Here is a 25,511-nt window from a genome sequence, read left to right on the forward strand (position 1 = left end):
ATTTTGTAAGAAACTAGCACAGCAGGGCTCTGAGGACAGATTATCTGGGTTCAAACCTTCATTGAATGACTTTGGGCAAGTTTCTTAATCTCTCTATGCCTCAGTTTTCCCATTTTCAAAATGGGAGAAATGATTACTTCTTAGAATTCTGGAAGGATGTAATACGATGATACAGGAAAATACTACAGAACACTTGAAATGTGGCTGCTCTGAAGTGAGCTGTGCTATAAATTAAAATACAGGCTGGGCACGGTGGCTCACACCTGTAATCCCAGCAATTTGGGAGGCTGAGGTGGGGGGATCACTTGAGGTCACGAGTTCGAGACCAGCCTGGCCAACATGGTGAAACCGTGTCTCTACAAAAATACAAAAATTAGCCGGGCGTGATGGTGCACACCTCTAGTCTCAGCTACTCGGGAGGCTGAGGCACAAGAATCGCTTGAACCTGGGAGGCAGAGGCTGCAGTGAGCCGAGATCATGCCACTCCACTCCAGCCTGAGCAACAGAGCGAGACTCTGTCTCAAAAAAATAATAATAATAATAATAAAATACATACCACAGTCCAGACAGTATGAAATAAAGAATGTAACATTTGAATTTATATATATATATTTTGGTTATGCTGGGCTAAATACAACATATTATTAAATTAATTTTACCTCTTTTTACCTTTTTAAAAATATGACCACTAAAATATTTAAAATTATGTATGTTGTTTATATTGTATTTCTTTTTTTTTTTTTTTTTTTTTTTTTAGAGACAGAGCCTTGCTCTGTTGCCCAGGCTGGAGCGCAATGGTGTGATCTCGGCTCACTTCAACCTCCACCTTCTGGTTTCAAGTGATTCTGCTTCAGTCTCCCAAGTAGTAGCTGGGACTATAGGCACCCGCCATCACGCCCAGCTAATTTTTGTATTTTTAGTATACAAATACATATTGGCCAGGCTGGTCGCAAACTCCTGACCTTGTGATCCGCCCGCCTCAGCCTCCCAAAGTGCTGGGATTACAGGCATGAGCCACCATACCCGGCCAGCTTATATTGTATTTCTATCTGACAAAATGCTGTTCTAGCTTATCAAACTGTTTTCCTAAACGAAGGCAATTCCTTTCTCAAAGGAATTTTCAATCCCAGCTCTTCAGAGAAAATGTTACATCTCAATATATAAATACATTAACTTCATGGATGTAGAAACTAAACATGAACCTGATGATGTGCCTGAGGTCAAGCGGCTAACAAAGGTAAGGCCAGAATCTGACCCCAGATCTAACTCAATGCTGAACTCAGCTCTTCCTGGTGCTCAACACTCATTTACCTCTACCTCTGAATCTAATCCTTAAAAGAGAGGCTTCTCCAGGCCATCACCCCAGGAAAGACTCCAGAACTAACATTCAATTACTTGTCACTGGGATCACCGATGGATGCTGTGTTTAATAGGATAAGTGTTTGATAGCTTAAGATATGGTTTTAAAAGAGTGAGGGTAAATGTTTGCAGAGATATCATCAGGATGCATGATATTCAGATGCTTTCAATACTTGGCCATAGTGACATTTCTAGTCCCAGTTTCTTTTCTTCTTCTTCTTCTTCCTTTTTTTTTTTTTAGATGGAGTTCCGAGCCCAGGCTGGAATGCAATGGCGTGATCTCAGCCTACCGCAACCTCTGCCTCCTGGGTTCAAGCGATTCTCCTGCCTCAGCCTCCCGAGTAGCTGGGATTACAGGCATGCGCCACGATGCCTGGCTAATTTTGTATTTTTAGTAGAGACAGGGTTTCTCTATGTTGGTCAGGCTGGTCTCCTGACCTCAGGTGATCTGCCCGCCTCGGCCTCCCAAAGTGGTGGGATTACAGGCGTGAGCCACCACGCCCAGTCTCTTTTCTTATATACAGCACATCAAAGAACAGGGGATGCCTCAGGGCTGTAATGTTCAGGAGGGGTCACAACATCCCAAGCACACTAAACTAACATGGAATCCTCCCAACAGCCCCATGAGGCATGGATCCTGCATCCCCATTTGACAGATGATGAAACCACTCACAGGAAGGCTTACTGCTTTGTCCACAGCCACCCAGCTAGTAAGTGGCAGAGTAGACTTCAAACCCAGTCTATATCTAGTCTTCCCACTTAACAACTGCAAATCCACCCTTCATTTTAGGCCTCCCTGTCTTTGCTCTTCCTGTCCTCTGTGCTAGAATATCTTTTCCCATCGACTTATTCTGGCAGGTCTGGCTCAAACCACTTTTTCTTTAAAGCCAATACTGTTCTCTCCCTTTTAGTAAAATTAATTAACCACTCCTTACTTTGGTAACGCATGAACTTGAAACACCATCTATCCTGTACTCGCCATAGTGTATTAGAATGTGTTGCTTATATGTCTGTTACCTCCAAAACAGCATCAGCCTCTCTTCAAAGAAGAGGCTATGCCTAATTCATGTAGGTATCTTCGGCTCCTGGCACGGTATCAGGTACATGGGAATTACTCAGTAAGCATCTGCTGATTAAATGAATGTAATAAGCAACCAGCTCATCTTGACACCCTGTTTTTTGTTCTGAGTACCTTTTTCCCAACCTGCTTCACTCTTCTGAATTCTGATGTTCTTCCCCATGGGTGGCTTCTCCACCAATCTGCTTGCATGGAGAGAGGCCAAGTGCACTGCTTTCAACTGTAGCTTGGTAACACCAATTGTCACCTCTCCATTTTTATTAATTGCTGAGTTAATCAAGCACTCCAAATTGTGTCCACCCACGTTAACATGCTCTTATTTCTGCAAGCATTTCCGGAAGACCAATAAAACAGGTTTAAGCTGAAGTAAAAGAATCCCACAGCCTTTTGGACCCAGCATGATTGCCATATTTTTCCAAGTATCTGGACCCAAGTCAGATCAGACGAAAGAAAGGTCTTGACCAAAATCTCAACCATCCGCAGCTTCTATGGAGCAAACAGCAGAGCAAACTATGATAGACTCTCTCATTTGAACATTCTAACTATCCTGCAAGACTGCCATTACCATGCCAGCATTCAGATAAGGAAACTGAGGCTTAATTGAGAAATGTACTATATTCCAGAGCCAGAAGAGACAGAGATAAGGCCCAGACCTTATCCGTGCACAAGTCATGTGCAGTCTCTGCCATGTGCGGCCTGAAGGGTACACTCTTACCTGATCCTGTGGCCTGACCCATCCTCCCAGGCTTAACAGCTACGTTCTGGTCATTTCAGTGAAGCAGAGCCACCCCACACAAATGATGTGTTCTTTCCTCTGGGAAAGCTTTGCTAAACCTCCCAGCCATAAGGGACTGAGACGTTTTCATCTGAATCTTCAACTAGGTGTTGCTTTAAATTCTGGAAAAAAAAATTCATATGGATATTTTCATTCCCTCTGCTCCTCTTACTTTTGACATACATATTAACATAAGTATATGCTTCTCCCTCACACCTGCCTCGCTGTGCCCATTCTGTGGACAGCCAACCCAGCAGCAGAGGGATGGAAGCGAGATTTATTTTATACGTGAATGTACTTTTTATTAGAATATATTTTATGTTTAATATACTTTGAATGTATGTTAATGTACTTTTTAGCCTTCTGATTGCAAAGAATAAATGCTATTCTTACAAACTGTCCTCCTCCAAACTGTCCTTGTCTACTTAATAAGTAGCTTTTTTAATTTTTTTTTTTTACTTTCGATAAAGATGCCACAGAGGCTGCTAGGCCAAAACGCGACGACATTCTCTGACAGGCTCCCATATGGAGAGTCTGACGTTCCAGATGCCTTCTTGTGTACCAGGTTTCCAGAACACAGTTACGAGCCCCCCGGGGCCGAAAAAGAAGCTCTGCACACACAACACGCTGCATGGCTTACTGTCCAGCTCAACAAGCAACTTGCTCAAAGCCTGTAGCGGGCCCTGGTGCCCCCAGAAGTCCCTGCACTAAATCCCCCAGGCGAAGTCACCTCCAGCTCTCCAAATGAGCAGCTGGAGGACTCAGAGGAAAGGTGAGCATCTGTGTGGGAAGGCTGGTCTAAACCTCATCACCTGGAAAGGATTTTTGAGAAATGAAAGGTAAAGAAATAAGAATTATAATTGGGTTTATCAAATGTGGGTAATAACTTGACCCTTTTTAAAGAAGAGAAGTGTGGTTAAAAGGCAGAGTCTTACAAAAATATGTTTCCATGGCAAATTATCACAGCAAAGAATCACAGCCATTTGTTTTTCAGATTCATCAAAATATAAACCCCAATTTGAACAGTTTTGTTTAAATAGTTCCCTCTCATAAAACATACAGAATATAGACCCATGGACCTTATTTTGAAAAAGACCCACCTACAGAGTATATTTCACTCATGTTAAGCCTTGCGGTTTCAGGAAACAAGTTACAATGTCTCACTACAAAAGGTTAAGGAAATAGGAACCCTTAAGTGAGTGATCATCTTCATGAGCCTGAATATGAAAACAGTGGCACATGGGGCAGGTTCTCCAGACATCAGGCTAACACTGCAAAGCCCTCAGGGCAGTACTGTAACCAGGAGGCCAAATATGGCTGAATGAAAGTCTCCAATAGCACTTTAACAGAGGAGAGGAGGTACTAACACCTTTGCCACACCCGCAAATGCTATCAATTATCTTTGCGGGGTTTTTTTGTTTTTGTTTTTTTTTGTTTTTTTTTTTTTTTGAGACGGAGTCTCGCTCTGTCACCCAGGCTGGAGTGCAGTGGCACGATCTCGGCTCACCGCAAGCTCCGCCTCCCGGGTTCACACCATTCTCCTGCCTCAGCTGGGACTACAGGCACCTGCCACCATGCCTGGCTAATTTTTTGTATTTTTAGTAGAGACGGGGTTTCATCGTGTTAGCCAGGATGGTCTCAATCTCCTGACCTCGTGATCCGCTCGCCTCGGCCTCCCCAAGTGCTGGGATTACAGGCTTGAGCCACCGCACCCGGCCAATTCTCTTTGCCTTCTATGAAATGAAAAAAGGCCAGTAACCTGGGGCAAATGAAATGCCTGTGTTTCAAGTCAGTGCAGACTATATCCAAATCATACCAAGATGCCCCCCCACACCCAGTTCCACCCTCAGCAGTGATAAAGGGGCAGGTGAGGGAAGCAGATGCCAGCCAGGAGACCTCTCAGCAGGGGGGCATTGTTAAAGCTTAGGAAAAACACCAAAGATGAAACTCAGCCTCTCATCAGTAACACTGGAACAGGAAGGCTAATCTTTATCATATAAGGCAACTAAGACTACAAATAAGGTATTTTGCAAATAAAAGTTTCATACATTCCACAGAGTAAAAGGATGCACTGAATTACCTCACTTCAGCATGTCTAGGAAACCTGTGAGATTTGATCATGGGACAACAGGTATGCATCCCCTGCTTACATAAATGGGCAGGAATTTTACTTTTCTCCTGCCATTCTCCTACCTTTGCTATGATTAACTTGAACTCCAAGAGCCCCAAACGATGGGGTTTTCAATAGACTGATGGAGCGCTCTTTTAACTAATCACTCCATAATCCAATTTTCCTCACGTGCGTCTACAAATCACCCCCATCTCTCCACAAATCCAAGAGGCCATGAGACATGACACACAGCCAGATGAATTATGTTGAAAATGGGAAAACTCATCACTTTGGGCCCTGGATTGCAAATAATAACCAAGAATGGGTTAGAAGATTTCTAAAGATATGCTCGGATGCCAATGCCGGAGAAGTCTGTGCGGCAGGAAGCTGCTGTTATCTTTACGTTTCAGCCTCAGCAGCTTAAGACCCTTCCAGTGAGATATGATGCAAAGGGCCATGCACACACCTCCAGCACCCACAGTGTCGGGGAGCGCTGCTTTGCAAGCAGGGTGATGCTTGGCTACCACCTTGCAGCCTCTCCAGGAAGTTTCAGTATTATTATTTCCATTGCAGAGTCAAGAAAATTAAAGTGTAATAAGACAAAGTAACTCAACCAGGGTCATAGAGAATGTAAGCAGCAGAGACTCAGACTCATATATTTCTCAAAGCCTTCCAGTACTGCTCCCTGGCCCAAGTCACCCTCATCTCCTGCCTGAAGTACAGCCCTCCGCAGTCTCCCTGTTTCAGCCTTTGCTACCTGGGGCCAATGCACAACCAAGAAGTAGCCTCGTGATCCTGATAAACATGAATCAGCTCATGCATCTCTTCCAATGCACACTGTGCCCAGGAGACCCAGAACAATTGGGTTCCTCTCTGTCATCCTCTCCCAATACTTTCCTAGGGGCTTGCGCCCTTCCAGGCACACGACCCCTCTGTGGTCTCTCTATTAGCAATTAAGAAATGGCCTGAAGGCCTTTGCACTGGCATGGGCCTCGGCTCTTTCCCCAGAAAGCCCCATGACTCATTCCTTCACCACCTTCAGGCATCTCCTCCAATTACCTCTGCAAACCCTCCCGGACCAACCTCCTTAAAACCGCAAACCCTAACCCACTCCTGCCAACACACACACTCCACCCTCCCTCTCTCTCCCTTCTGTATTTTCTTCTCTCCGAGTATTTACCACCACAGGAGACACAGTATGTTTTCCTTGTTTTGTGTGTTAGTCTATCTCCCTCTGCCAGAACACAAACTCTATGAAGGCAGGGACTCGTGTCCCTTGGTTTACTAACAGTCCCACAGTACTTAGAACAGTGCCTCATATACAGTAGTGCACAGTAAATAGTTGTGTGATGAATCAATGAGAAAAATAAAGACTTGAACCTATCTAAGTCAGGTGGTCTCTGCCCACCAACCACACCACCTGTCTCACCTTCAACAAGAATGTCAGCTCATTCAGGGCAGAAACCAAGGCCATGCGGTTGGCCTCGGTCAATGCCAGCTTCCTCTGTGTACGAATCATTACTGCAGCTGTCCGTCCACACTGCTGGGAACACAGCACTTTAAAGCGATCATGCGCTTGCAGGGAACATTATCCTGGGTCACTGTACGTTGACCCTCTTTCCTCTGATGGCATTAACGAGTGTGCTCTTCACACACTGCTATCATTCAGGGTGAGTCAGTGTGGGAGAAGCAGCCCACTTATCAAACCCCACTTCTCTTCTGAGGCCCCCATATTGTGCCAGCCCACGCAAAGGGCCTGACTATGGGAAGGCATGTGCCACATCCAAGTGACTGTCAGTTTGGCTGGAGTGTCACAACTATGCAGGGAATCTGTGGGAGACCGGGCAAGACCAGATTGGGGAGGCCCTGAAAGGCCAGATGCCACCATCCCGCGGAGCTGCCAGATTCTCGAGGTCACGGCTTACACTGCGGAGGGCCGGCAACCCCGCCTTTAATCTGCCTACCCAGGGAAGGAAAGCCTCCACCTCCTGCAAATCACCCTCTTAGTGGCATGCGTGCACTTACTCCAAAAGTCAACCTTTGTCTACAAAGGACAATGACAGGAGCAACCCTAGGTTTCCTGATGGCACAAATCAACCTCCCCTCCTGTTTTCTGAAGCTCAGGCTCTCTGCAGCTTCTGAGATGCTGCCAAGCACACAAAGGCGGAGTCACCCTGAGCCCATGATGGCACCAACAGCACATGTATTTGTGAGGCTTTCCATGGGGGGGAGGAATTAATAAAAGGGCAGGTAAAACCTTGGGAAGAATACGAATAATTACTGGAACTTATTTAAATGCTGAGTTAGGCAGTTTTTAAATGATAACTCACTTCATCCTAATGCTCTGATTAACCATTATCATCCTCGTTTTGCCCATGCAGAAACTAAGGCTCATCGGCTAAATAATCCACATGCGCCAGAAAGTGACAGCCCTCGCTTTCAAACCCAGGTTTGCAGGGCACAAGGGTGTGTGTTCCACAGGCGATACCATGCTTCCTATACCAGTGACTCTATCACTTTTTAAGTTGCTGAAAATATAATTACATTGCTACTGAGCCACTTTATTTCAAGCTGATATCTTAGCTGACCCTCTGCGGAGGGGGCAGCTCCAACTCCTGCCTCTGAGACTTCATCCCAGGAGTAGAATTGGGGTACACACCAGTACTTCAGATGGCTAACTACACGTGAAGTCCCGAGCCCCAAGTTCACACCAATCCCCCTAAGCCTCAGTCTGTTTATCTACAAAAATAGGAATGTTTATCTCATATCAGTATCATAAGGCAGCCTTACGTAACTACTGATATTGATAGAGCAATATGAAGCTTGTTAATGTGCTTTATAAACTCTGAAAGGCTATTAAAACAAAGTTATAATTATAATGAAATCTAGTGAGTGACACCCATTCAGAGGTCTCACTGCAGGCATAAGCAGCTCAGCTACCCTCCGGGAGATGAACCACCCAACCTACAACTTCCTGTTCACCTTCCGCTGGAGCCCAAGTTTCTCATAAAAGATCATAAAAGATGTGGCCGGGCGTGGTGACTCACACCTGTAATCCTAACACTTTGGGAGGCCGAGGCAGGTGGATCACTTAAGGCCAGGAGTTCGAGACCAGCCTGGCCAACATGGCAAAACCCCATCTCTACCAAAAAATACAAAAATTAGCCAGGCGTGGTGGCGTTCCTATAATCCCAGCTACTGGGGAGGCTAGGGTATGAGAATTGCTTGAACCTGGGAGGCAGAGATTGCAGTGAGCCGAGATCATGCCGTGGCACTGCAGCCTGGGTGACAGAGTGAGACTCTGGTCAATAAATAAATAAATAAATAAAATAAAAGATGTGAGCCCCAGGAAGGGTATCACTGAATTAAAACTCCCTCCTGTGAGCATCTCAGGTAACCACGCAGCCAAGCTGAGGTGCAGGCTAGATCCATGGAAGCCAGCCCACAGCAATCCTGCTCCCTGGTGCTCAGTAAGGACCCAGTAAATTCCCACCTCCCATTTTCCTCTCCTACACTTGGGGACTCAGACACTCTGACTTAGGCCCTCCAGCCGTCCTACAGGATGTTCCTGTGACTTGTGTGACTAGGGGGCACATTTAGAGAAAAGAAACTGGCAGAGAATCTAGTTTGGGCTTAAACTGTTTTTATTCCTATGTTATTTAAACATTAAAGTGGACTGGGCACAATGGCTCATGCCTGTAATCCCAGCACTTTGGGAGGCCAAGGCAGGTGAATCACTTAAGCCAGGAGTTCAAGACCAGCCTGGCCATCATGACGAAACCCTGTCTCTACTAAAAATAGAAAAATTAGCAGGGCATGGTGGCCCACACCTGTAATCCCAGCTATTTAGGAGTCTGAGGCAGGAGAATTGCTTGAACTCGGGAGGTTGCAGTGAGCCGAGATCATGCACCTGGACAACAGAGTGAGATTCTGCCAAAAAAAAAAAAAAAAAAGAAAAAAAAAGGAAGGGAGGGAGGGAAGGAGGGAGGGAGGGAAAAGAGAAGAAAAGAGAAGAGAAAAACATGTAAGACATTAAAATTAAAAAATTATTTTTATAGTAAATGTTTACTGAGCACCAAGTACCAGGCACTGCGCTCACCACTGCAGGATACAGTGGCAAGGAAAACGACAAAAAGACACCCCTGGCTCTTGTGAAGCTTCCAGTCCAGCAGGGAAGAAACAAATAAACCAGAACATCCCATAAAAGCCTATAAAGTCAACTGGGAAAAGTGCCTCGCAGGGCTTTACAAATACAGAAGGCAAGTTTTGGTCTGGGCAAGGTGGTGATGGTAGGGTGAAAAAGCGGTAATTAAACAGAGACCTGGGTCAGAGCAGGGGTTATCGAGGCCAGGGTGGGGAAGTGAAGGAAACAGAATTCCAAGTGAAAAGAACAGCACGTGAACATCGAATGAGTTCTGCTGTGGTCTGAATATCGATGTCCCCCCCAAAATTGCTTTGTCAAAATCCTAACCCGCAATGTGATGGTATTATTAGAAGGTGGGGCCTTTGGGAGCTGTTCATACCATGAAGGTGGAGCCCTCGAGAATAGGATTACTGCCCTTAAAACAGAAACACTAGAGAGCTCCCTCGCCCCTTCTTTCACGTAAGGACGCAATGAGAAGGCCAAGAGACAGCAGGCCCTCAGCAGGTGCCGAATCTGCTGGTATCTTGATCTTGGAATTCCAACATTCTAGCACTGCGAGACCTAAACTCGTGTTATTTAAAAGTCACCTGGCCAGGCGCAGTGGCTCACAGCTGTAATCCTAGCACTTTCGGAGACCGAGGCGGGTGGATAACCTGAGGTCAGGAGTTCGAGATCAGTCTGAACAACATGGTGAAACCCTGTCTCTACTAAAAATACAAAAATTAGCCAGGCGTGGTGGGTGGGTGCCTGTAATCCCAGCTACTCGGGGGACTGAGGCAGGAGAACTGCTTGAGCCTGGAGGTGGAGGTTGTGGTGAGTTGACATCGTGCCACTGCACTCCAGCCTAAGTGACAAGAGCAAGACTCCATCTCACAAGAAAAAAAAAAAAATCACCCAGTTGATGGTATTTTTACTTCAGCAGTCTGAACAGACTAGGACAAGGTTCTCATGCCTATGATTTTTGCTCTAAAACAATCTTGAAATCAAAACAAACTTACAAGGTTTACCTTGAAGATCAACGCCAATACAAGTTTCAGTGAACGTCACATACGTTTGTTTCTATTCCCCTGACCTAAACCACCACTTCCCAGAAGGAATATGGTCCACTTTGCTCAGGCTGGCCAGGTTCTCCTGAAGATGGTGGCCCCACCCTGTGCATGGAGCTCATTCCATCGTTCCTTCCCAATGTGGACAACACTGTGGAACCACCAATGCTCCCGTTCCACAGTCAGGCCCCTCTGCACTTCATTCTCTTTCTTCAATTGAAGAGGGACCACTTTGTACCAAAGCAATGCCTCACCTAGGACCAGTATTTGGTTATAAGTAGTCACATTCATGACCCAGAAGATGCTTATATTAATTTTAGATGACATCAAAAGGTCAATTTTTAAAAAACGAAAAAAAAAAGTAATAAAAAAAAGTCTTACAGAACATCCATGAGCCCATGAAGGAACACTGTTTGAGAAACAAACTCCTTCCTCCCTTCCATTTTGTCACCATCTTCAATGACCTCATGAAAATCCCTTCCTTCTGCATTTGCAAATGCCCTTCCATTTCCCTTCCAACCAAGAAATGATGTGCACGTGGTGGACAACTGTACTAATAAAGCTCATGATAAAGAATATTTGTATCACACACGGGGGAGGTGGGTAACATTTATGGAGCCCTCCAACTACCTACAAAGCACCTTCGAATATATCCTCACACAGGCTGGGTGCAGTGGCTCACCGCTGTAATCCCAGCACTTTGGGAGGCCGAGGTGGGAGGATCACCTGAGATCAGGACTTAGAAACCAGCCTGGGCAACATGGCGAAACCCCATCTCTACTAAAAATACAAAAAATTAGCCAAGCATGGTGGTGCGTGCCTGTAATCCCAGCTACTCGGGAGGCTGAGGCACAAGAATCGCTTGAACCCAGGAGGCAGAGGTTGCAGAGAGCCAAGATCACAGCACTGCACTCCAGCCTGGGCAACAGGGCAAGACTCTGTCTCAATAACAAAACAAAAAACAAATATATCTTCATACAACACTCACGAGTTTTGTAACATACTTCACTCCCTTTAGAGATGAAGAGACTGGTGGTTTTTGAGTAGCTTACTTAAAGTCAGTTACACATTTAAGTTCCTGATGTAAATCAGCATCTGCCTGACCCTAAAGCCTGAGCTTTCAACCAGGATATCACCTCACTTCCCCAAAAGAAAGCATATACTGTAATCTGAAATCAAAACTGGCACAATAAATAACAGATGCCACCTGCCCCTAAAATTCTTACCGAGCTCCCTTCAGAAGCGTCTTCATTCTCCTTTTAATTTCGTGAGCTTTTTCTCAAGCCCCCTCATTCAACAGAAATGGAAAAGATTCTTATTCTATTGTATTGTCTTCCGTTTTAATTGTCAGGTTTGCAAGTGTATGTCTGACAATTTTCGTGGCAAAGGTCCAGGAAGCTCCCTCCTGGGCTAGGCAGACTTCTGCACACCGGCAGCATTTCTTAGCGCCATTTATGACATCTTTTTCAATGAGAGAAAAGAAAGTGTATTTTTTGGAGCCCATCCATTCAGAAGTTTGAGATTCTGGAGCTGGAATAATACGTATCTGGAAATTTTGTGTAATGGTTTCCTTAAATAGACCCTTTATTCTTGGTCCCCTCTAAAGTCTAGCAGAGACATAAGTCAGGCTCTTCTCAAATAGGGACTCTGTTCAATCAACTCACGCCAAGACCATTGATTGGGAACATCCAACATGGGGAGGCAGGCTCTGGGTCTGGTGTTTGCAGGGGGTCCCGGAGGGGCTCATGGACAGGAAACAAAGGAGATGCAAGCAATACTCACGGAGGCACCTACAAGGGGATGGGGTCATTTGAACTGGGTCTTAAAGGGAGAGTGGTCTGGAGTGACCAGAAGATAGAGGAGGGGAGAACTAAATAAAAATGTATTCATTCATTCATAACTTTCTGAGTGTTCAATGAGGGAAGGATGTGAAGCTCGGTGCCAGAAACACAGTGTGAACCAGGAAAACGGAAATGGCCCCCGCCCTTGTGTAGTGTGAAACCTCATGGGATAGACAGATGAGGAACACACAGGCAAATGCAAACCACCAGCCATGTCAGTGCTGAAAGGGAGGCCCCAGGTTTCTGCCCCCCATAAGTGGGGAGCCAGGCCAGGGCCCTGCCAAGCCCTCCCAGCCCAGCTGGCCCACTGGCTCCTCAGGCCTGGGAGAGAACAACGACAGTGGTCTGAAGATAGAGGGGAACTAGCGACCCATGTGCACCTGCCACATTCTAGGAACAGAGCTACTACAGCTTCAGGGTTAAGCGCATAATTCTGGTGTTCAAATCCTAGTTTCTCCCCTACCCAGCCCTGTAGCCCTAAGCAAGTTACCAAACTCCACAATGCCTCAGATGCAAGGCGGGGCTCACACTCCTGTTTATTCCATCTTAGGGTTTTATGTGAGGATTTAAAATGTCAAATGAATTCATTCATATAGAGGCTAAAAAGAGTGCTTGGCACAGTAGTTGGTGCTTAAAAAAAAAATGAGCTTTTCTTCATATTTTTTTCAAATTAACCCGCACAGCAATTCTAGGAGGCATATTTTATCTCTGTTTCACAAATGAAAAAACTGAGGCTCAAAAAGCTGCAAGAAATGAAAAAACTGAGGCTCAAAACTCTGCAACAGAACTTCACCAAAATCTCACAGGTACATGCTGGAGTCTGAGTCAAGTTGAGAATCATCAAGAAATTGTTTCAAAAACCAAGAATCACTGCACATAATGCTGTCAAGGTTTAAACTACAACAAGCTATTTCAAATTTATTTTATATCTGCAAAATTCTCAGATCTATTCAAAAGGACCATGAGCTTCGTGATAAGCCAGCCCTCATAGGCAACAATTCCTCAGGTTGTTCAGGACAGAGGAGGTCATAATTTTGGGGTGGGGGCGGGGGGGTGCTGCCTCAGTTTCCCTAAAGCAACAAGCATTAGGCAGGTGGAAATAAGGGGTTATGAGACTACAGAGACTCAAGTTTTCATGACTTTACTGGGCATAGCTGCTCAGAGATTTACTGCCCTAGCGCCAAGGCATGCAACAGCTCAGAAAAACAAACATTTACAACTGAGCAGCTACCTGTCCCCGAAGCTACCCTGGGCTCCATATGGTTCTGTGCATATGGGAAGCTGCATACGGTTCTGTGCATATGGGAAGCTGCATACGGTTCTGTGAACTCTCGTCTCCTCAACAGGCAGGCCCCTTGCTTCCCCCTTGCCTCATTCAGACCCCTCATTTGAGAGTCATTTCAGAGTTCACCAGCTCCAGAAATGTTATCTTTCAAGGCTGAATCAAGAGGCTCTCCTCTGTGCTCTACCAAATGCCTATAAAAATTTCCAATATCTCCACCACTAAACTTGCCCCTTTGTTTTATATGAATTAGTCCAGAAATTCATTTCCTTACTGGCTATGACTTCCATATGGACATGGATGAAGCCATTATTCCTTTTTAAAAGATTTATTCACTTTTTGTTGAACAAAAACATCTTTTTGAGCAACAACTATGTGCAAGGCACCATGCTATGTGCTAGCCATAAAAAAAAAAAAAACTGTATTGAGAGGATGCCATTCTATTAGGAGAGACAGGTGCAGGAAGGAGAATGAGAATACGATGTTACTGCATGACTTTAGCAAGTAACTTACCCTTCTCTGGCTTGGTTAATTTACCTGGAAAATTGACCCAACATTAGTACCTACAACTCTTCAGATCATGAGGAGGATTACATGAGATCATACCTATAAAATGCTTAGCAAACACATCCCTGGCACACAGTACATAGACCAAATACATGCTGGGTAAAATTCTTTGTGATAAGCACTGTAAATGTTGGCTATTATCAAACGGAGATGTTCTCTGACAGCAGCGTAGCTTTAAGTTGTAAGAGCTGGTTTTGGTTCATCAAAAGCAAAGTCATTAGAAATTTAACGGAAAATTGGCATCGATGCATTGGCTGTGATGAAATCAACTTTGAAATATCACATATTTTTAACTCAAAATCCTAGTCTGATAGGATCCTAGTCTAATAGTTCTTCTATTCTCGACTTTGACAACATCACCTAAAAATGCCTTCTCAAAAGCCACTCTCACCATGAGTCCTTTCTTAAGACGTTTCGTACCTTCTCTACCACGTACGAGAGTTCACAATCTTGTCCTGGCCTTCTCACCACCCTCACAAAACTACAAAGCTTCTTTCAAACAGGATTCACGTCTGAATCATGTTAGCAACCCACCACATCAGTCATTTGTTGCATAATAATGCTACCTAATGAGCCATCCCAAAACCAGTGTCTTGAGGCAACGATCACTTATTTCTAGTCATGCACCTGCAGGTCAGCTGGGACTTGGCTGATCTAGACTGGGCTTGGTTTCTCACTGAGGGCCCATGAATTGGCTGCGTGGCTCTGCTCCCCTCTCCTACTCTTCTTCTGACCAGCAGCTGGCAGGGCACACTCTTTGTGGCAAAGGCAGGGACACAAAAAAGCAGAAATGCTCAAGATCTTTTAAGGCATAGGCTTAAAACTGGCATACCATCCCCTCCACCTCATACTTCAGGCCAAAGCTAGTCACATGGTGAAACTTAAAGTCAAAAGTCAAAGGAGTTGGGTAGGAAATCAGAAACGTGTGAAGATTTGAGGCCACAAATGCAATCAGCCTATCACATCCACCACTCAGGTGCTTCATGCATACAAAATGATCATCTGGCTCTGAATAAATGAACAAATGAATGAATGAAAGAAGACTGACTACATTTCACAGCCTTGTCAAGACACATGCCAGTTTCACTAGCAGCCACTGTGAATTCTAAAGGTGGTACAACAGTGGCACCCTCGTTAAATATTAGTTTGCTACAGGTCCCTACACTCCACTGTACTTCAGCGGAAGAGGCAGCATTTCAAAAATGTGTATGTTCACAGTGTTATTTTTTCATGGATCTCTGATTGTGAAATAAATCAATATTCCCATTCACACACAAGAGCCCGTGTGCAGGCACACATCATGCCCTATTTCTCAAAAAAGAAAAATGCAACACTGCTTTGCAAACGTGGAGTGAGGGAAGGGGATTAAAAAGGGAGAAGGTGAATAGGTGACTTTGAATCCAACCTACAGTGGTTAATTTTCATTTAACTATCTGGCTGAGACTAGGGGTTCAGCAGAAGCACATTAAATTCTGTGAACTTATGAAACGATGCATTATTGAAGCCACAGCAGGAGGAAAGGACTCGGTTTAGAACACATAAAAGACTAAAACTGGCAGAAGTGTCATTTTCCATTACAAAGTAACCGCTAAAGAAAATACATTTTAATTGAGAAAGAAAACACCAGCTCCAAAAGGGTAGGTAAAACAAAATGTATCCACAGCACTGTCCCCCTTCCTCTTCCCACCACCCCAGTAAATCCTGCAGTTCCTCCTGGAACTCAACCAAGGAATAAATCTTAAACTATTCCATGTCCTTTCTGGATCCACTAACACTAGTAGAGGCCACCATTTACTCCATTCACTCAACAAATATTTATTGAGAGTTCTCTATGCCTAAGACACAAAAAGACAGAAACCCTGCCGTCATCAGCTCACATTCAGATAAACGCACAGCATATTAACAAACGGTGATGCTATAGGAAAAAACAGAGCAGGGTAAAGAAGGCAAGTGTGGAGTTATCGGAGAGCCACAATTTTAAATACAGTGATAATCACCAAGTTTTTCACCTCCCGAAGTGACCTTAAGACTTCTGTGCTTCAACTTTCAAAAGCTGTTGAAATCAATCATTAACTTAAGTGGTACAGGTAAGCCATCATATCACTCATTCTAGCAGACACAAATATTGGGTTCCCCACTCACAAGGTGTTTGCAATCTAATCCCTCTCATCAAGCGGTATTCAGGTATCATGGGAACACCACAAACCCCACGTTTAACCATGAACTCTAAGCAAAGACAAAAGGCAGTCCATGCAGGCCTATTATTAAGGCCCGCTGAACGTCACAAGTCTCACAGGGCACCTCCGCCCCTTTCACTACATGTTGAGTAGAAGTGCATTGAAGGCACTGAAGATGCAGGAAATCTATCGATTCCACAGGAAAAGCATGAGCAGGCCTCACTGGGTCCCCAAACTGGGCTCCCGGCCCTGCAGACCTGGATGCTCTAAGTCTAAGGGTCAACTCCCCTCCCCATCTAGAGGCTGACCCTATGAGCACTCAGGGTCACCCTCTAGATGGGGAGAGAGGTTGTGCTGTTGGTCCAGGCCCTGCCCTTATCCTAAGGCTGTGTCTTCTCTACTTCCTGTTCAACCTGTACCATATGGAGGCCTCCTTCCCAGTGTTCTAAATCTTGGCTGCCTATGCAGATCACCTGTGGAGTTTTTGATCCTGGTCCCCAAGATGCATCACAAACCATTAAAATCACTATTTCTAGGGGTGGATCCCAGACATCAGCATCAGTTAAAGCTTTCCAGAGGATTCTAGTACACATCCTAGGTGAGAAACACTGTGGACCCCTACTCTACTCACTAGGGTGGCTACCCCAGTTGCAACCTTATTCCTGACCCCCTTGTCTCCTCTTCTTATTTCAATTTGAGGCTTTAGCTGTGTCCCCTACCCGACACTGTCCCACTGCTGTCCATCAGAATGAATTATCAGAAACCTCGAAGTAGCCTCTGTGTGCAGCAACTCTTATTTTTCAAACAAAACTGGGACATGGGAGCTGGCAGAAAAACTACTGTGCTCTTCCAAGGCAGTGGCCCCAGGCAAGTTAGGACAGGGCTTTGGAGTTCTCATCCTTGTCTGGACCCATATCTGGTCCAAGGTCACACACATGTGTGTGACCTCATACAAGGAAATGAACCTCATTTGGTCTCAGTGTGCTCCTCTGTAAGTCAGGCACCATGACAGCCACCTCATCAGGCTGTTGGGAAAACACAATGAGAATCATGAATCAAGCATTTGACATTCAGGAGGTGCTCAAAAAATGGCAGTGGCACTTCTCAATTTGTCACATGGGAGCCAGTCCCGGAAGAGCTTATATACCAAAGTGGAATGCCTGGGACAGTTTAATGGTTTAATGGGATAACAAATGGGGCAGAATATTTGCAATTAGAGCCACCCTAGAAAATCTGATCACCGATCACCTGTATTTTGTGTCATGAGCCTTATATTGGAGAGGCAAGTGGGGGTGCTGTGGGGGATGGGGAGGAGAGTACACCTCTACAGAGGTGGGCAGAGTTGGCACCCTCGGTCTCTGGATGGGACACACAAACCGGAAACCAGAGAGAGCAGGAAGGCACAAGGAGGACAAATTGGCTCTAACTATGAATGCACTTGAGCATAAACAGAAAACAGAAAAGCAGGCCATCTGCCCACTCACAGAGGACAAGAGGAGGAGATGGAGACCTGAGGTGACCAGAGTAGAAAACTAGGATGGAATGGACTCAGGCAGGTCTCCTGGGAGGCTACATATTAGTTATCTATTGCTGTGTAACAAACTGTCACAAAGTTGATGGCTCAAAACAGCACACATTCATTATTTCACAGTTCCTATAGCTCAGTGTGAGCCTGGGCATGGCTTAGCTGTGTCTATGGTTCATGAATCTCATAAGGCTACACAGCCAAGGTGTCCCCAGGGAGCTCTGGGGCCGAATCCACCTGCAAGCTCCCTCCTGTGCTGGCAGAATTCATTTCCTTGTGCCTGAGGTCCTTGCCTTCTTGCTGGCTGTGGGCAGGGGTCACCCTCTGCTCCTCAAAGCCACCCACAGTTCCTTGCCACATGGGCTCCCCCAACATGCCAACTTCATCAAGCCAAGAAGGAAATCCTTCAGGGCAAGTTTGCTATGAAGATGGGGTCTTACATAAGGAAATGTAATCACAGAAGTGACATCCTTCGCCTCTGCTCTGGTCTTATTAGAAGCAAGTCACAAGTCCCCTGCACACCCCAAGTGAAAGGGACCACACAAGAGCAGATCAGGAGATGAGGATCATGAGGGCCAACTTAGAGTCTGCCTGCCAGAGATACCTTATTTTCACCGTAGTAAAATACACATCACATAAAACTTACAATTTTACCCATTTTTAAGGGAACAGTTTGGTAGAATCACACACATTCCTATTTTTGTGCAACCATTACCAACACCCACCTCCAGCACTGTTTCATCTTCCCAAACTGAAACTGTCTCCCCCTTAAAAGCTCACTCCCAATTCTCTCCTTCCCCTAGTCCCTGGAAACCACCATTTTACTTTCTGTCTCTACAAATTTGACTACTGTAGGGACTTTACATAGGTGGAATGATAAATATTTATCTTTTTAATGACTGACTCATTTAACTCAGCATCATGTCCTCAAAGTTCATCCATGTTGTCGCATGTGACAGGACTTCCTTCCTTTTGAAGGCTGAATAAATTCCATGTATGTCTACACCACATGGTGTTTAGCCTTTCCACTGATGAACACCTGGGTGGCTTCCACATTCTGGCTATTGTGAATGACGCTGCTATGAACATGAGTATGCAAATATCTCTTTAGAACTGTGCTTTCAACTCTTTTGGGTATATACTCAGCAGAACTGCTAGATCTTAAGGTACCAGGGGCACATTTGAGGCCAAAGTGTACCGTGTACTGGGGTCCAGTGGCTTGGGAGCCTGTTAAAACTTTTGACAGAGGCATAGGAAAGTAAAAGGTGCCCAAGTGACTGAGAGCAACGTCCTATTGTTAGCACCATCTCTCCCTCAATGATGCCGTCACCTTGCTAGAATGTTCAAACTTCACAGTGTCCACAGCACTCCATCTACTGAGGCCTAGCGACACTGATCCCTTCCACTCCCGGCTCCCACCCCTGGTGTGCTTGACTTTTGCTGCTGCTCCTACATTTTAAAGGAGTCTTTTTCAGTTACACTATTTGAGTTTTCCGTAATTAGATACTCACTCGTTCTCTCTCAGTATTCAGAATGAAAGCAATGCTCTCCCCCAGCTGTGCTACAGGGGCCAAGTGTCAGATGCAACCCAGCACAGAACCTTCCCCGCCGACCAGACCTGATGGTGGGGTATCAGAGAGAGGTCCTCAAAGAGAGGAAACACACATGCTGCCCTGGAAAACAGTTGAAGCTGCTTTTCTGGTTATCGCCCCTGTCTCTCACTTCCTGGATTTCTTCACCCCAACGTTAGCAGATCAGGGACAGTTTTGCAGGAAGGAGGCCAGTCATGCCTCCTTTGTGGAGCTCCCTGGAGAGCTTCTACCTCCCTTCCTTCAAAGCCCAGGAAGAAGCTGAAATGAAAGCCTCAGGTTGACTCACTCACAACTGTTGAATCCCACACACCCTTCTTTGCAAAGCAGCTGGCTACCACATTCAGAAGGCACTACAGCCTTTAAATCAAGCCCATTCTTTTGCAAAAACCCCACATACCTACTCCTCCGCTTTTATTTTTGCTCACCCAAAAAGCTGCAAGCAGTAAACTCTCATTGGTGGTCTACAAAGATAAAAGTCCCAGGGATCCATTATTATTTCAGGCAGAATAAGGGGTTCCTTCCTGTGGTCCCAAAGTAGCATAAAACGAAAGCAGGAGGCAAGCTGGGCCTGGAGAGCCACCTAGTAAGGCTGGCTATCAGGCAGAAGTCAGGACAGGGCAGCATGACGGGAATACGCAAGGGAGGCAGCCCTTATCTAGATCTATCCCAGCTCAGCCAGTGAAGGTGAAATCAGAGGGGGAATGCCAATGAAGCCAGCGGAACCTACAGACAGCCAAAATGTGGCGCTTTATTACGAGAGTCTAAGTGACTGCAAACAGGCCATTATCAAATCTCTTCAGTGACAAAGCTCCGTGTTGAAGGGGACAAATAAAAATAAGTACATTAAGCACAATAAATCACAGGGACCTGTCGGTGAGACCCATTATCCCTGGGGGATTACGAGGCTGTTTTCCTCCCTGCTTTCAGCTATTGGATCCTGGTTTTCCCATCATTGTTTTAATATTGCAGCCATTACTCTCTGTGCCACGAAGTGCCTGCTGTTTCTCTGTAGTTCTGGGTGGCAAGGGCATAATTTGTTTTATGATTTGCTTGGGAGGGTAGCTGTTTTATATTCATCTTTAAAAAATACATTCAATGATTGTAGCAATGAGACCCTGTTTAAAAAACAAGAGACCCAGTCCTGTCACTCCTTTCAGCATACACGTGGCCACAGCTGTAGCCACCCAAAAGGTACCCAACAATTACCAAGAGGACTATGCAGTTTCTTTGGCGGCCCACAGGCCCCAAGAAAGCTTGAGCCAGGCTTAAAAGAGCTCCTGAATGATGCGGAAGACAGCCTGGGCTTGAGGGAGAAAATAAAAGGTTGGAAGTCAAGTGGCCTGAATTTTATCATTAACTTGGTGTGAGCCTACACGGTTCCCTTGATCTGGGCCCAAGTGCCCCGCCCCCCATCCACAAACTAAGGCATCCCATTGGTCCACATCCCTCTTGGGAGCCCAAAAGTTCTGCATTTCCATGAGATGCAGAGGGAGTGCAAAGCACTTTACACCACGTAACCCTACTTTTATTTCCTCCTCTCCTTCCACAAGATCATTACAAGATTCTTCTTAAGACTGGCCGAGCACAGTGGCTCAACGTCTATAATCCCAGCACTTTGGGAGGCCGAGGCAGGCGGATCGCCTGAGGTTGGAAGTTCAAGACCAGCCTGGCCAACATGGGGAAACTCTTTCTCTACTAAAAATAGAAAATTAGCTGGGCGTGGTGGCACATGCCTGTAATCCCAGCTACTCCAGAGACTGAGGCAGAAGAATCGCTTGAACCCGGGAGGTGGAGGTTGTGGTGAGCCGAGATTGTGCCATTGCACTCCAGCCTGGGCAACGAGAGCAAAACTCCATTTCAAAAACAAACAAACAAACAAAAAGATTCTTCTTAAGATAAAACCAACCCATTATGCAATTCTCCATGACATCTTCTACCAGTTCCTCCTTCTCCTATCCCTGCAGAAATGTTCCCTCCTGCCTCCTCATTCCCTGAGATGTTGTTTTCCAGGACCATTCATTATAAACAAGTCCTCACGCAACTGTATCCATCGGGAAGTGACAGGATGTGCTATTTATGCTGCTCCCTATCAGAAGTGAACAGGACCACAAACCCCTGCTGCTCTTCAGCAAGATGGCTTTGGACCCCTCCCTGCAGTATGGAGACATCAGTATTCCTTTCAGCCATTCCCATTTCAATTACCACATCTCAATCTCGCCATGAAAAGAACATGTCTTGCAATGTAAGCTTCCAGTGTGGCACTGTACAAGGCGGCCATATAACAAAATTGATCCCAGAACTTCATCGCCCACCTGTGAGGCACTGACATCAAACCCGCCTGATGGTGCCCAACTCTCAAAATACCCTATAAAGGACTCAAAATCAAAACAGGCAAAAAAGTTACAGGCTCTCCCATGTCAAAAATGGAACTGGGTTTAACGGATCATCAAAGCCTGTTGAGCGGCCTCTTGGGAGTAGAATAGAGGATTCCTTCTAACCAAACAATGCATCAGGCTTTGCAAAATTGGATGTAACAAACCAATAAATACCAAGAGGAGTTATACATATGGTAGTTTTTAGCCCAGAACTGCAGGTGGCAAGTGACAAAAGGGATAGCTTTGCCTGGAAGCATGACAGCCAAGGGCCAACCTAATCTGCTCACAATGAACCAAGCCACACAGAATGAGAGTTCCAAGCAAGCAGGGACTGGGACTTTGTCTTGTTCTCCTCCTCACCCGCCCCCTCACTGTGCCCAGTACAGTGCTTGGCATATAACAGAGGGTCAACAACTGTGTGTTCAGTGAATCAGCAAATGAAGGAATGAATCTGAGCAAAGCAACATCGATGACCAGCAGCCCTCAGAAATTCTGATCCAATTGATGGGAATAACATGAAAATCTATTTAACAAAGAAGTGAGACTTCTGCAGTGCTTTGGGCATCTCAAAGAATACATCCAGATGTATATATTCAGACAGCAATCTGTACAATGCTGTAAGTAAATGCAAGTAAAAGGCACAAATCCTTTAAATGTCAGTGTGTGGGTTTGGAGGGTTGTTTTTGGCTTATTTGTTTTGTAGCTTTTTCCCCTAACCATTGCAAGTTATTAGGAAGAAACAAAAGAGAAATGCAGTCTGAAAACATTCTTAGCCTCTGCCCCAAGTGAACCTCTGTTGAATATCAAAATACAGCTCATGAAAACAAACCAAAAAACCAGAATACATTCCCACACTCTCCATGAAAGATTCAGGAGTTGGAACAGATATCTCAGGATTTACACTCAAATTGTACCACAGGGCAGCAGTCACTGGCCTGCAAGTCAGGACAAGGAGGAACACAGCAGTCCTGACGTCTAAGAAGATGCAGCTCAGCTCCCGGGTGGTGCTCCCCCTTGCAAGCCCAGCCCCGGCTCACTCTACGTTTCCACCAAACACACAGCTCAGGTACAACATTCTTACCTCCAAAGGACTTACAATTGAAAATTCTCACAGACCACATCACGTGTCAGACCCAAATGCTCATTAGATGTCACTTGCTTGGAATGAAGAGCCTCTAATGTCCAACGGGCATCCGGCCATCACTCAGGGGATACGATTTCTAGATTGCTTTCTCATTAACTTGTGTTTGATCCTTACATTAAAGGCGAGAACAGATGACAGACCTTGTTTCACAGAGGAGAAAAAAATGAAGCTCAGACAGTATTAAGGGTTGAAATAATCCCCCAAAAGACATGAGGAAGTCCTAACCCCTGGTACCTCAAATTGTGACCTTCATTGGAAATAGGGCCTTTACAGAGATAATCAAGTTAAAATGAGGTCATTAGGTGGAACTTAATCCAATATAACTGCTGTCCTTATAAAAAGGGGAAGCTGGCTGGGCGCAGTGGCTCACGCCTGTAATCCCAGCACTTTGGGAGGCCGAGGCAGGCAGATCACCTGAGGTGAGGAGTTCAAGACTAGCTTGCCCAACATGGCGAAACCCCGTCTCTACTAAAAATACAAAAATTAGCTGGGCATGGTGACACACGCCTGTAATCCCACCTACTCGGGAGGCTGAGGCAGGAGAATCGCTTGAACCCGGGAGACAGAGGTTGCAGTGAGCCGAGATCGCGCTACTGCACTCTAACCTGGGTGACACTAGTGAAACTCTGTCTCAGAAAAAAAGGGAGGGGGGGTTGTTTGCACACAGAGACATGTACAGAGGGAAGACAATGTGAAGACACACAAGAAGAAAATAGCTATGTGACTGGAGGGACATGTCTACCAGCCAGGGATCACCAGGAATTGCCAGCAATCACCAGAAGCTAGTGAGAACCAGAAGGGTTCTCACCGAGAGCCACTGGAGAGGGAGTGTGGTCCTGCTGACTCCTCCAGACACCTTGGCTTTGGACTTCTGGCCTCCAGAACTGTGAGACAATTAATGTCTGTTGTTTTAGGTCATTCAGCACGTGGTACATTGTTACGGCTGCCATAGGAAATGAATGCAAAGAAAGTAAGCACCTTACCCAAGGGGAGCCAGGAAATATTAGCATGGAAATAACAATAAACCATGTTCTGCCAAAACTTCTTGATCCTATGTCCTACTCTCTCAGACACTGTGAAATGTCTTCCATAAAGACAATCCCCTAATTAGTTGGGTGAGGTGGCACATGCCTGCAGTCCTAGCTACTGGAGAGGCTGAGGTGGGAGAATCGCTTAAGCCCAGGAGTTCAAGGCTGCAGTGAGCTAGGATCACACCACTGCACTCCAGCCTGGGCAACAGAGTGAGATAGCATCTCTATAAAAAATTAAATTAAAATGTTGAAATGACAATCTTCCAATCAGTTAACACAATCGATGTTGGCAGATAAAGGGGTGATGATACATGGATGACTTATTCAGGCCCTCAACCTGAACATATGCATACTTTAACCACATCGTATAGCAAATGGCTTTCTAAAATTGTACTGAAATTTCTGGTTTGCAGGCAAGCAAAATTTGGGAAGCGGATTTTTGGGTTCTAATGTGAAAAGACTACAATTTGAAAGCTGCTACCTACTCCCCACATCTTTTTGGCTGTGATGTTTCATTCTAAACAGAGACAGACCAGACAATGAACACACAAGCCACATTAAAACAGTAATTAGTGCAAGAGCGAGAACAATGACAACTTCTTGATAAAGTGGAACGATGAACAGGTTTGTCACAGGCAGAACCTTAAAGATTAGCTCTGAGAATGAACAGAAATCATTCCAACACAACAGTGGCACTTTTACGACGTGGGCCAAATGGACTCATAAAACCCCACACTTGAAAACTTTGGTCCGTAAGACACACAAAAAAACAAGACGACAAGACTCTCTCACACACGGGAGTGCTGGCGTGCCCAGCAGAGCTCTTGGCCAATCCACTGCTCCAGTGGGAAGAATAGGATGAGCTGTTGGTCTCAAAGACAGAGTCCTGCCTTAGGGCAGCCACCCATCCCATTCCCCAAAAAGTCATAAAACTCATTTCACAACCCAAGTCCACCCTCAGAGTATCGCAGAGAAGCTGTCAATTGCAAGGACAATGCTACAATTCCAACACGGCAGCACTGAGCCTAGGGAGGTGAAAGGTCCAGATTCTCACTATCCAACCCCAAGCATTTTTCGCAAATCCACAACCAGTTCTCATCTGTACGTTTTGTCTTCTCTCTACTCCTATTAAAGGGAAAGCAGTACCCGAATAATAAACTCTACATCAAACTTAACCATCCCTGAAACAGTCTGCACTGCCTAGGTGAATCTGTTACTAATTTGTGTTTCAAACAAGATATGTACATGTTTTTCAAAATACAACCCATTCACAGCATTAAAACAACAGATGATGTTATAGGCTGAATTACATCCCCTCCCCCAACTTCGTATGTTGAAGTTCTAACCCCCAGAACCTCAAAATGTGACCGTATTTAGTGACGGGGTCTTTAAAAAGGTGATTAAGGCTGGGCGCAGTGGCTTATGTCTGTAATCCCAGCACTTTGGAAGGCCAAGGCTGGTGGAT

The 25,511-nt window shown here is 45.4% G+C and overlaps 1 protein-coding gene across 18 annotated transcripts in view, besides 2 other annotated features; it reads right to left on the reverse strand.

The window, feature by feature from the left end:
* The window catches only part of LARGE1 (LARGE xylosyl- and glucuronyltransferase 1), an 856,162-nt gene that overhangs the window by 810,737 nt on the left and 19,914 nt on the right, over positions 1-25,511 (reverse strand). The window contains exon 1 of one of the 18 annotated variants that reach the window (XM_047441599.1): positions 3,153-9,256. The exons of the other annotated variants lie outside the window; for them this stretch is intronic. The gene's annotated coding sequence lies outside the window, so the exon portion shown is untranslated. Of the gene's footprint in view, positions 1-3,152; positions 9,257-25,511 lie in introns of those variants that run through there. 18 annotated transcript variants of the gene reach the window in all.
* Positions 19,622-19,916: a silencer, noted in NCBI's record as "tiled region #329; K562 Repressive non-DNase unmatched - State 24:Quies". NCBI's record gives its function as "represses a minimal TATA promoter and a strong SV40 promoter by Sharpr-MPRA in K562 cells {active_cell/tissue: K562}" and the evidence as "EXISTENCE:reporter gene assay evidence [ECO:0000049][PMID:27701403]".
* Positions 21,537-22,149: an enhancer, noted in NCBI's record as "H3K4me1 hESC enhancer chr22:34294924-34295536 (GRCh37/hg19 assembly coordinates)". NCBI's record gives its function as "activates a minimal SCP1, AML or CMV promoter by ChIP-STARR-seq in naive H9 embryonic stem cells {active_cell/tissue: H9 hESC(naive)}" and the evidence as "EXISTENCE:reporter gene assay evidence [ECO:0000049][PMID:30033119]".

The sequence above is a fragment of the Homo sapiens genome, chromosome 22 (assembly GCF_000001405.40).
Source record: "Homo sapiens chromosome 22, GRCh38.p14 Primary Assembly".
Taxonomy (NCBI): domain Eukaryota; kingdom Metazoa; phylum Chordata; class Mammalia; order Primates; family Hominidae; genus Homo; species Homo sapiens.